Below are 12,424 nucleotides of genomic sequence, written 5' to 3'. Positions count from 1 at the left end.
TTCTATTTTCAGGAAAATATTGTGGAAAATTGGTATTAATTTATCTCTAAAAGTTTTGTAGATTTCTTCAGTAAAGCTGTGATTGGGGACTCATTTTTTGAGAGCTTTTAAATTATAAATTCACTTTCTTCAGTGATTATAGGACTATACAAATTATTGTATCATGGTTGACTTGGTATTTTGTGATTTTTAAAAAATTGATTATCTTTTTCTAATTTTATGTGCATAAAGTTGTTCATAGTATTTCACTATTACCTTTACAATAGCTGCCAGTTCTACAGTAATGTCTCCTATTTGATTTCCTATTTTATTTTTGGCAACTTCTTTCTTCTCTCTTTGTATTTTTGTCTATCTTATTGTAGGTTTATCTATTTTTCTTTTTTCTTTTTTTTTTAAGGAATCAACTTTTGTTTCACTGATTTTTAAATTTGTGTTTCTATTTTTAAATTTATTCATTTCTTCTTTTTATTAGTTCTTTTTCTGCTTGCTTAATTACTTAAATATTGGATGTAGAATAGTTTTATTTTCATTTGGTTCTATGCACTTTTTAACATACCCTTTGAGACTTCAACTCTGACCTATATTTAGATGTATGTTTGTCAATATTCATATATGTATACTTTTTCTGTCGTTTTTCTGTTATTGATTCCTAGCTCAATTCCATTATAAAAAAAATTCACTCTGGTTCCAATTGTTTTACATTTTCTGAGGTCTGTCTTGGTGAATATTCCATAGGCATTTGGAAAATGTCAATTTTACTGGTATTGGGTAGATGTTCTATATATGCCAATCTAACAGTAGATTTTCTATGTCCTTGTTACCTAGCTACCACTTGTATCAGTTCCTGAAAGTGGGATTTTCAAGTTCCTAATAATAATTGTGAATTTGTTCATGTCTTTTTTCACCTCTGTTTTTGCTTCATGTATTTTATTTCAAGGCGCCATGTTTGCTTGGTACATTTTTAGGATTGTGTATCATTATGCAATGATTTTAACCTTTTATCCTTTTACGCTTTTATCTATGCAATTCCTATTTTTGTGTCTATTTTCTTTTCTCTGTAATTTACATATTTAATTTTCAATATAACCAGTCACTCATGCTTGCTTGAATAACATTTGCATGGTAAATCTTGTTTCATTCTTTTACCTTCAACTTACTTTTGTCCTTTAATTTGAAGATATTTTATTGAAGGGGGATATAGTTAAGTCATGTTTTACATCCACTCTGCTAGTCTGTGTCTTTTGATTGGTATATTTAGATCATTTACATTTAAGATAATTATTGATAAGTTAGAACTTAACTCTGACATGTTATATTTGTTTTCTGGTTTCTTTTCTGATTCTTGTCCCTAAATACATTTTGTATTATCTTTTTTAAAACATAGCTTAATATCTCATCTTGATTTATTTATAGTATATTTAAGTGTGTCTTTTTCATAGTTTTTAAAGTGGTAATCAGTCTTATAAAAAATACACATAAGTTGATATATAGGTAAAATGAGATTATATGTACTACTACTACTAATAAAAATTTTAAAAGTAGGTAGATGCTAGTGATTATTATTACCCTTGACAACCCAACTAGAAACCAGAGTTGTTTCACTTAAATCTATCTTCATATATCCATATATTTATCTTATAAAAAACAAAACAGTTTACTTGCAATTACAGAGCTTCTATTTTACATTAACCATGGAATAGACAGGAATTTATGGTTTCTCTAGGAGATAAACATAAAGTTACCATATGACCCTGCAATTCCATTTCTAGGTATATACCCAAAAGAAAACAAAATGTGTCTACAAGGAAACCTGTACACCAATATTTGTATTCAAGCCAAAAGGTTGAAATACCGCAAATGTCCATCAATGAATGGGTAAAACAACCGTAGTATACACACACACACACACACACACACACACACACATATAGTATAAATATAACATATATGTATATATAATATTATAATGCTATAAAACCATTATGCTAAGTGGAAGAATCCAGAACAGAAAATTTTATATTGAATCTTTCTTGTAAATATGATATATCCAGAATGGGCCAATCTATAGAGACAGAAAGTAGATTAAGGTTTACAATACAATGGGAGGTAGGAGGTGGAAGGAAATTACTTAATGAATATTGGGCATTTTTATGGAGTAATAAAATGTTTTGAAATGAACGAATAGAGCATATGGCTGTAAAATGTTGTGAATACACTACATATTACTAAAATGTACACTTTAAAATGGTAAGTCTTATTCTAAATCTGTATTTCATTCCATTAAAATATATTTTAAAGGTAATTAAGAAACAATGACTTGATTGCAAGCTCCTTGAGGGAAACTACATTTGTATCTCCTGCCTAAGACCCCAGTAAATTCAGAAACTGGACAGCTGAGCATAAATTCTTGTTGACCATAAATAAGCATAATAAACAATGTCATTGCAATAAGGACAATTTAAACTACAACTTGTTAAGCAACAACAAAAACATATGGTAACCATTCTGTGATGAAAAGAGTCAAATTCTGCAAAATATTTAGAGAGATTTATTCTGAGCCACATACGAGGACTATGACCCATGACACAGCTCCAGGGAGCCCTGAGAACATGTGTCCAAGGTGGTCGGCCTGTAGCTTAATTTCATATATTTTAGAGAGACATCAGACATCGATCAATACAAGTAAAATGTATGTTGGTTCAGCCTAGAAAGGAGGGACAACTCAAAGCTGAGGGAGGTGGCTTCCAGGTCATAGGTGGATTCAAAAATTTTCTTTTTTTTGTTTTATTTTTTTATTTTCAATTTTTGTGGGTACATAGTAGGGGTGTGTGTGTATACATTATATATATATATATATATATATATAGTAGGTATATATATTTATGGGGTATGTGATATGTTCTGATACAGGCATGCAATGTGAAATAAGCACATCATGAAGAATGGGGTATTCATTTTCTCAAGCATTTATCCATTGAGTTACAAACAATCCAATTAATCTTTTAAGTTATTTTAAATTATACAATTAGTTATTATTGACTATAATTACCCTGTTGTACTATCAAATAGCAGGTCTTATTTTTTCTATATTTTTGTGTACCCATTAATAATCCTCACCTCCTCTCTGCCCCACCCTCCTATGACACTTCCCAGCCTCTGGTAACCATCCTTCTACTCTCTATGTCCATGAGTTCAACCATTTTGAATTTTAGATCCCACAAATAAGGGAGAACATGCTGATTGGTAACTGCTTGAAAGAGTTAAGTTATTATCTAAAGACGTGGAATCCATAGAAAGGAGCATCTGGGTTAAGATAAAGAGTTGTGGAGACCAAGATTTTTATCATGCAGATAAAGCCTACAGGTAGCAGGCTTCATAGAGAACAGATTGTAAATGTTTCTTACCAGACTTAAAAAAGGTGCCAGGTTCTTAGTTAATTCTGTCTTGAGTTAGGAAGACCTGAAAAGGGAAGGAGATTCTCTACAGAAAGTAGATTTTCCCCGAAAGAAACAGTTTTGCAGGGCCATTTCAAAATATGTCAAAGAAACATATTTTGAAGTAAAATACTTCAATTTCTTTCAGGACCTACTAATCTCATGTTGGTATCTTATTGCTACAAATAGCCTGTTTTGTCAGTCTCAAGGTCTCTGTTTTAATGTTAATGCTAGTCAGTTGTGCTTGAATTCCAGCGAGGAGGGTATAGTGGGACCTGTTTGACCTTCTCTTTCCATTGTGGACTGAAGGAGTTTTTCAGGTTAACTTAGGAATGCCCTTGCCCAAGAGGAGGGGTCTATTCAATTGGTTGAGGGGCTTAGAATTTTATTTTTGGTTTACAATTCTTTCAAGTTGCCTACGTCTGTGAACTACAGTTGTACATTCAGAAGTCAGGAGGGATTCTCAAACGAATGCTGGCACCTTCTACGGTCTGCACTGCTGCTGCTCTCCAGATCCCTGTCAGTGGCTGTGGCTGTTCACCTGCCGTGACAGTCAATGGAGAGGAGCCCTAACTACAAATCCTCACTACCACCTGGCACTGAATTCCCCCTAGGCTTTTCATGTTTTGGAGTTTCTCTGCAGGTCAGCAGACACAGCAGTGCTCCTACTCCCAGGAAAGCAGTATCCCATTTTTAGATTGTCATTACCATGGCAGAAAATCATAAAACTAGGATACACGAATATCTATCCTGCCACCTAATGCAAAGCAAAATTGTTCCTTATAGCATAGTCTCATACACTTTGGTGCTGTCTAGTTTTAAATGATTCAGCTTCTACAGATTTTTTTTCTTCTTTTTTTTTAGTGTGTGGTATGGCACCCAGTAATTTGAGTCTGAAGCTTTGCCATTTCTGACATTCCCTGGAGAGAATTGGTTCTTCCAAGTCTGAATGCTCTCATTTACATAGGAATAGACTCCCAAGGAGTTGAGGTCACTCAACCCTTGCCAGCTTTTTTCTAAAAGAGGACCTATGTATTATAGGAAGGAAAGGAAGAAAGCAAGTTTGTAAAATGAGTCTCACTGGTTCTAAGTTTCTGTCTAAAATGTCGGAATTGTTAGCACATTGAAGTCATTGCCTTATTCCTTACTGTTGCTATTTTAGTTAACAGGTTTTCATAGGACTCCACTATATTATTTTCCTAGAAAGAAAACTCAGTGTTTTTAGGCACTGCTTAATCTCTTGAGTTCATTTTAGTTATCAATATATTGCTCACTTGCTTAGGGACACATTGGGAAAACACTAGTCAATGCTGATTTCTGGCTATTTGACATAAATAGGCAGATTACATAAACGTAAGTCTGTTTAAAATAATTCCAGTGTCAAAGTGCAAATGCTTGCTACTTACAGCACTAGATTCTAGAGATAGAAAATGTACAACACATGGTCTTAATTCTTATTTTGCTCCCAGAGCACCTCACCAAGAAAATGAAAAAGTGCTTCCTGTAATACAAGGAGATTATCAGCAATGAATAAAAGGCACTTGTGATAAGAAATCTGACTATCACTCTACCCTTGCAAAGGGCTAAGATTGGAGATTCCAAATCAAAGGAGAACTGAGGGAATGATTAACTTTGCTAAGGTCAGAAGAAGGGGTAAGCTTTTGTTCCTATATCTATTCCCCAAAAGAAGTGACAACTGGTAGATATGCAAAGTAGTGTTTAAACAGCATGCTTCCTGTGCCATGTTTCTTTAAGAGGTGCTGATTTTTTTTTTTCCTTTTTTGGCTGCTGTTATACATTTTTTTCTATGTGGGGCGCATTACTCTTTTATTAGAGATACACATATTATTAATATCCTGGAATATTTTATTTATTAATTAAAGACTTTTTTGGGAGAAGAATTACACACATTTAGAACACATCACAAAGTTACAGACATAGTTTATTTTTGTTTTTTTAAAAAAGGCTTTAGAAAGTTTCACTAAGCAGATTGTGTGTGGACAATGACAATCCAGTAAAGTCTTAGATTTTTGAACTGCCTCTCCCAGCAAATCCTGAATCAGGCAGGGGTGTGCTGACTTCCCAGAAGGGTCTTTGACCCAATCCTTGCCATACACTTGGCTTCTCCTGTCTGCTTTAGGGCACAGTTGATTGCTGCTTCCCTGCACACTTCTTTAATGCCTTCTCCAGCAGTCTCTGTAGTATTAGTATACTTTGTAAACATACTATGTCCCTTAGTGTAATTTTAAGCTCCTTTTCTTTCACCTCCTGGAGAACAGATGGTCATCTTTAGCACACTCTTTCCAATACCATTTTTATTGTCTTTCACTTTTTTTTGAAACATGGTAGAATATTTACTTGTGTGAGAAAAATATCTGTCTTTCAGTATTCCTAGAGATGGGTCTAAGAACTTGCATAGGATAATTATTTCTTCAAACCAAAATATGGATATTTATTTTTAGATTAGCCCCATTTCTATGAGGCCCGCTGTCAATGTACCTAAGCATGAAATAGTAGAAGAGCTTACTTGTTACATTCTATTTTGTTTTTCTGCATGACCTTTGGTTGATCTTCAATTATAGACCAGGTGAGGTTCTCATTAAGAGTTTAGAAAAATTGAAATTGGTGATTTTCAAATCCTGGTTTATTTGAGTGCCTTTTGTGTTTTTGAATTTTTAACTTTTTTTTATACTCTGAAATGTCTACTCCAGTGAGCATTTGGTGAGAGCCCAGAATAGATACAACAATCACAAATCAAAGCAGCCTGCCATCAATGTCTTCCTCAGAAACCTCACTGTCCAAAATCAGTTAAAACAGTTCATAGAATGTGTAATCTGTACAAAGTAGACTGCAAAGTACTGTAGGGAGGTCTCAGAGAAATAACAAATATTCTGTAATTTTAAAAGCTTTGTACCTATTAAGACAGGACAATTGTTTCAGATAAGCATCATTAATATAATGATATACAATAGTAACCTGGTTTGGCTGTGTTACCCCCCAAATCTTATCTTGAATTGTAGCTCCCACAATCTCCACATGTCATGGGAGGGACCCAGTGGGAGGTAATTGAAGCATGGGGATGGGTTTTTCCCCTGGTGCTAGTGAATAGTGAATACGTCTAATGAGATCTGATGGTTTTATAAAGGAGAGTTCCCCTGTACACACTCTTTTGCCCGCTGCCACGTAAAACGTGGCTTTTCTCCTCTTTCACCTTCCACCATGATTGTGAGACCTCCCTAGCCATGTGGAACTGTGAGTCTATTAAGCCTCTTTTTCTTTATAAATTGCCCAGTCTCAGGTATTTCTTCATAGCGTATGAAAATGGACTAATATAAATAGAAAAAATAGCAAAATGAATTTATAGAGTAAGGTGATGTGGAGTGATGGGGTTCAGGTCATGCTACACTGAAATATGGCAGCTTGGCATTTGGAAAAATAGCAGAAGCTAGGAGGTCACTCTCACCTTCCCCTTGCCCTTCTCCCCTCAAGCTGGTTATAAGACCTTATGTAAGAGGTACCCTCCTTATACCCAGAAGAAAGGCACATTCTCATCTCAAGACAAAGAGCCACACAGAAAAATCTGAACAAACAGGCCTTGCTGTTTCCCCAGTTTATTTCCATAACTTTTGTCCAATCATATTTCTCCATGACTGTCTACTCTTCATCAATCCAGGCATAAGCATACACAAGTTTAACTGTTTTTTCTGGTCTCCATTTTCTTGTGAGGGGTTCTGTGTTCATAAAACTTATTTAAAGAAATTTGTATGTTTATCTACCTTTGGTTATAGGTGTCTCAGCTAAGAACCTCGGATAGGCAGATGGGTTAGGAAAAGATATTTTTCCCTTCCCTACAAAAGAAAGAAAGTCACTGTAGCTGATTTAGATCTTCAAGAAAAGTTTTAAGATGGATATATTCTTTCATCAGGATCTATTTTTGTGCTCTCCATGGAAATATTACTCAAGATACAAATGTGAACCACTTGTGTAATTTTAGTTTTTTGAGCAGACACAATTAAAAACAAAAAACAAAAAAAAAAATAAGAAACAGGGCTAATTCATTTTAATAAAGTTTCATTTAACCAAATATATCCAACATACCATTTTAACATGTAATTAATTTTAAGAATATATTTAATATTCTTTTTGTCCTAATTGTTCAAAATCCAGTATGCAGTATTATACTTACAGTGTATCTCAGTTTTGAACTAGCCATATTTCAAGGGCTCAATAGTTGCATGTGGACACATATGGACAAAGTCACATATTGGACAGTTCAGATCAAAAGTAGTAAAAAAAGACAGAATAGGATTTGGGAGGAGCATTTTAAGAAGGAATGACAAGAAGATACTCTGAAAGGTAGAAAGGCTTATATGACATTGAGTAGGTTACTAAGGTATGGGGTACAAAATCCGTTTGAACTATACACAAGGTTGTTGTTGAAAAAAATTGTAAGCTTTATTTTTGTTTATATATTTTGTATATATTTTTAAGAGATGGGGTCTCATTATTTAGCCCAGGCTGGTCTCAAACTCCTGAGCTTAAGCCATCCTCCTGTTTCAGCCTACTAAGTGGCTGGAACTGCTACCCTGCCCAGCAAAAGACTGTAAGCTTTAGAACAAGTTAGCTCTAAAATCAAATATATCACATAAATTAGAATAATGTTCAGTGGAAAAAACAGAAATATCTCAGAAGCTTAACATAATGAAATTTCTGGTTTCTTGTCCACCATGGGTCAGTAGTGGGAGTGTGTATAGGAGGTCGTCTCTGCTCCATATCAGTCTAGAATTGATGGGGGCTTCACTGTCTCGAATATCACTTGTTGCTGCAGTAGCAGAAGAAGGTGGCATATGGAACTTCTGCTTGTTCCTCCTAACAGCAAGGAACAAATGTAATCATTCTGTGTACCCTGAAGCAAAGACAAAGTGTATACAAATTAGCATTAAAAGTCTCTGTATCTATCAAAGCCTCAAACATTTTTATGACTGTAGGAAAATTACTTTGTTTCTGAGCTTATGCTTTCTCTTCTGTAAAGTGAAGAAAATAACTGTAAAGTAGGATAACAGTAAGCAAAGCACCTTGCACGGTGTCTGGTATATAGCACTCAAAGAATTGGTAGCTATTATTTTTGTGCTATAATTCAGAGTTCTCCCCATGGATATTAGTGGTTCATAACTAAACTAGAATAATGTGCCCAATAAGGTCCCTAGAGGAATCTGGACCAGTTCGTTTTAATATTTTTATTAAATTTTGTAGAGCAAGTTAATTTTTTACAGAATTTTAATACCTGAAAATTTATGGATTTTTAAATGTCTACAGTAGTTACCGTATGTGTTTAGTGCTATCATTTTTAACTTGCCTTTAATCTCCAGCAATAGTTAATACAATTTCACAGAATAAGTATGTTGTCTTATCTATTATCACCTTAAGATCATATAAATACACCTTGCTTTATTGAACGAAAATACAATTTTGGATTCAAAATACTAGCAATTATAAATAATGTACTGACTCACCCACACCAAGATTAATTTTATCAAAAATATGGCTAAGTTGGTCTATTTAAAAATGCATATCAAACTACATTGACAAAAGTGGTGTAAAAATCAATGAAACAAAAGTACAGCAGGGTCACAGAGTCCACAGGCTGACTGTGACTTGTGCTTTCACTAAAAATGCCTATATAACTTAGGAAAATTGAAATGCAGAGGAAAGAATTAATTATTTTATGTATTTTTCCACTAGCCATGAAAATTTATTCAATTCTGACTTATGTTTTGTAAAAGAGTTGAAAAGCTGGAGAGTTGACGAATAAGATAGAAAAGTTGGTCATGCCAAAGACTCTTAGAAGCTAGGTAGGAGCAACTCAATCTGTCTACCAACCACCCAACAAATCAATATATAATGCAATAAAAAGGATTAGTTTCTTTTCACATAATGGGCAATTTCATTTGTGAAAGAGGAGGTTAAATGATTGCACAGTAGATATTTGCAAGCCCATAATTATGGACATAAGGATACTGTAGAAGAAAAGCAGAGTAAGAAAAGACAAATGAGAAATAATTTGTTGATACATCCTCTAGGGAAAATTAGCAAAGTGAAATTATGGAATAAAGGGATATGGAAGAATAAATCATTGTAGCTGAAATTTCCATTTTCATCTCTTAAAATGTTATTTTCTATTATTTTGAGAATTCATTGTGGATCTCTGTGAGATGGGGTTTGAACACATGATTGTGTGAAGTGGATTCCAGCTATGTGATTCCTTTTGTAGCCTTTTAGTGGGTTTATAGGGGTTTTAATTTTAGAGTTTCTAATTCATTAGAAAATCACGTTTTGTGAGTGAACTAAGACACACAGATGTACACCCAGATGCAATTATGAAAATGGTTCACAGATGTGTGATGTCTCACATAATAATTTCATTCTAGATGTAAGATTTATAATATGATTAGCAACTTCAGACTTTCTACAAATATTTTGAATTTGCTTGTTTCATAGTTACCCAAGGCAAGCAAAAAGTAGTTTTTCTCCAGCTACTTTTATAAGCGACTGAAATACAGCAAATGGGATCATTAGTAGTTTTGCCTTCAGCTCTGAGACTCATTTATTTGTGCTCTTGACCTAGTCAATACTTTTGAATCGGCAGGAACCAAATTAAACCAAGGTGCAAGGATTCCAAGGAGCTAGAATGAAGGGAAAGGCAAATTATTCAAACTTGCCTCACAAAGTGGGTATAAAAAAACAGAAGAGTGCCCAGAGGGGTCAAACTTATGGCAGAGATGTTAATACCATACTTCAAAGCCAACTGCAGAGGGAATGCGAGGAAAGGGAAAATGAATAGGGTGGTGGAAGGGTATACAGTCCAGAAAGGGGCAGAAGGATGTGTTAGGCATGGCTTGAGGTGAGCACTCTACACTAATAATGTGCTGGATGGTGTTAATAATTGATAACGTCTTTTTACATGATGCCAATACATATTTTTGGGTTTGACATGGCAAATGTAACTGGGCCCTTTCCAAAAGTAAGTTTCATAACTTTATTATTATTTTTGTTTGTTTTAGTAGCAAAATCATTCTGCCAAATTAATGATTATGTAGGTATCTATATGGAAGTAATAAAAGTTGGACTGTTTGAATTGAAGCAGGAGTTGTTTATTTACCTTCTTATTCAATTTCTCCCCTTCTTCTTTGGAGACATCTCTTTTTTTAATATGACTGTTCCATGTTTTGAAAGGTGAATACATTGATTTTGTTTAAGGAAAGTATGAGTCATCTCTTTCCCAACAACTTTGATTTTGACAAACCTCTGCTTGATTACAAATAGCACTTATTCTTCATGCTGTTTCTAAGATGTTGTTACTATATTCTCTCTCTTTTCCTAATGTACATTCTCCCATAATATTCCTCAGCTTCCTATGGTCACAATCAACAAATTTAGGTGTATTTTGAACAGGAAATGTCTTCCCAAGACTATTACTTCAGGCTGCTTCGTTTGAAGTTACCTGCCTCCTGCCACTTCAAATAATAATAAACTATGAAAAGACGCCCTCCAGGAATGTCACAGAGATGAACAGCTACATGTAAAGAAAGCTTTCAGTACCCTTGGAATAGACCTGAATTTTCTTCATAGACTGACTACTCATTACCATTATAGATTTGAATAAATCATGAATTCTACTTCTCCCGATGAAGGCTGTTCCTACACCTGCAGAGTCCATAATCAGGGTAGTTTTCTAGATAATATAAGAAAGTGAAAAATATATACTTCTTTTGCTTCAATTAGCAAGATATTCAAAATACATAATTGAAGGCATTTTTTTGCTTAAAATATCAACATAATAACTTCCATACTCTTTTTTTGTGTGTGTACAGTGTGTAGAAAAACAAACAATTTGAAGAAAAAAAGGTATTGTTTTCCCTCAGTGGACTTTCAAAAGACACATCAGAGTAGCTTCTGGGTATGTTATAGAAATGCATAGAAACTATAAAAAATAATTGAAACTTGCAGAGTGATTTCAGAGTTTTATTCACTGCTGAATTTTGCAAACTTCATCTTTGCTGTACTTGAACTTAAAGAACTAAATAATTTTCTTAGAATTTCTCAAGCCTACCTTTGTTTCCAAGGATATTTCAACCACAATCTAAGCAAAAATAATAAGCTGCTAATGATTTGTTTAGTCTAGTGGTTCTCAACCTGCCTGCAAATTAAAGTCACCTGGAGACTTTTAAAAAATAGTGCTGCTTAGGCCCCACCTGCAGAGAATTTGATAAGAAGGCCCAGGCATCAGTATTTTTTAAAGATCTCCCAGGTGATCCTAAAGCACAGCCAGTATTAAGAACCATTGAGCTAGTAAATATCTTGGGAGACTTTTACTCATTGCCTGATAATAAAATTCAACCTACTGTACTTGTTGTCATATTAGGACTTATTAATAGCATAAATTAATATGTATCAAGTGCATCTTAATTCAGAAAGCCTGAGAAAATAAACTTTGGTTTTGTAGAAAATGGTGGATCCTTCTTTCTGCCAGTCCCTGCCTTCTCCAACCCTCTTATCTGAAGTGACTACATCCCTCTACTTGTAGACTTAACATTACAGAAAATGCTGATTTGCGTAGGAAATATATCAGCCATCATGTCTCATGTGGAGGCATGGAATTGTTCTGATTGACAGTGACCTAATACATTGCCTCCAAACTGATATTCCTTTACCTCCATTATAATGTTACACTTTCCTCACATACCACTCTAATGCTCTTTTCTAAGTCTACGTCTGATGGGTGAGTTTTTGTCACCCCATTTATCTTCTACTAGCCCCATATAAAAGATGCTTCATCTCATCACCATGGCTTCTAGTTAGTGCCTTGTTAATGAACAGGTCACCTGGAACTGATTTCATAGAGTCCACATGCCTTAGGTATTGCCTGATGCACTAACTCTTGCTATCATGGTCCCTACCTGGTTGCCACCTGCCTAAAGGACATCTGAGAC

At 34.4% G+C, this 12,424-nt stretch overlaps 1 annotated feature.

Moving 5' to 3' along the window:
- Positions 4,088-4,729: an enhancer, noted in NCBI's record as "OCT4-NANOG-H3K27ac hESC enhancer chr13:54930851-54931492 (GRCh37/hg19 assembly coordinates)". NCBI's record gives its function as "activates a minimal SCP1, AML or CMV promoter by ChIP-STARR-seq in naive H9 embryonic stem cells {active_cell/tissue: H9 hESC(naive)}" and the evidence as "EXISTENCE:reporter gene assay evidence [ECO:0000049][PMID:30033119]".

The sequence above is a fragment of the Homo sapiens genome, chromosome 13 (genome assembly GCF_000001405.40).
Source record: "Homo sapiens chromosome 13, GRCh38.p14 Primary Assembly".
In the NCBI taxonomy this organism is placed as follows: Eukaryota; Metazoa; Chordata; class Mammalia; order Primates; family Hominidae; genus Homo; species Homo sapiens.
This window is presented reverse-complemented; position numbering and strand designations above follow the sequence as displayed.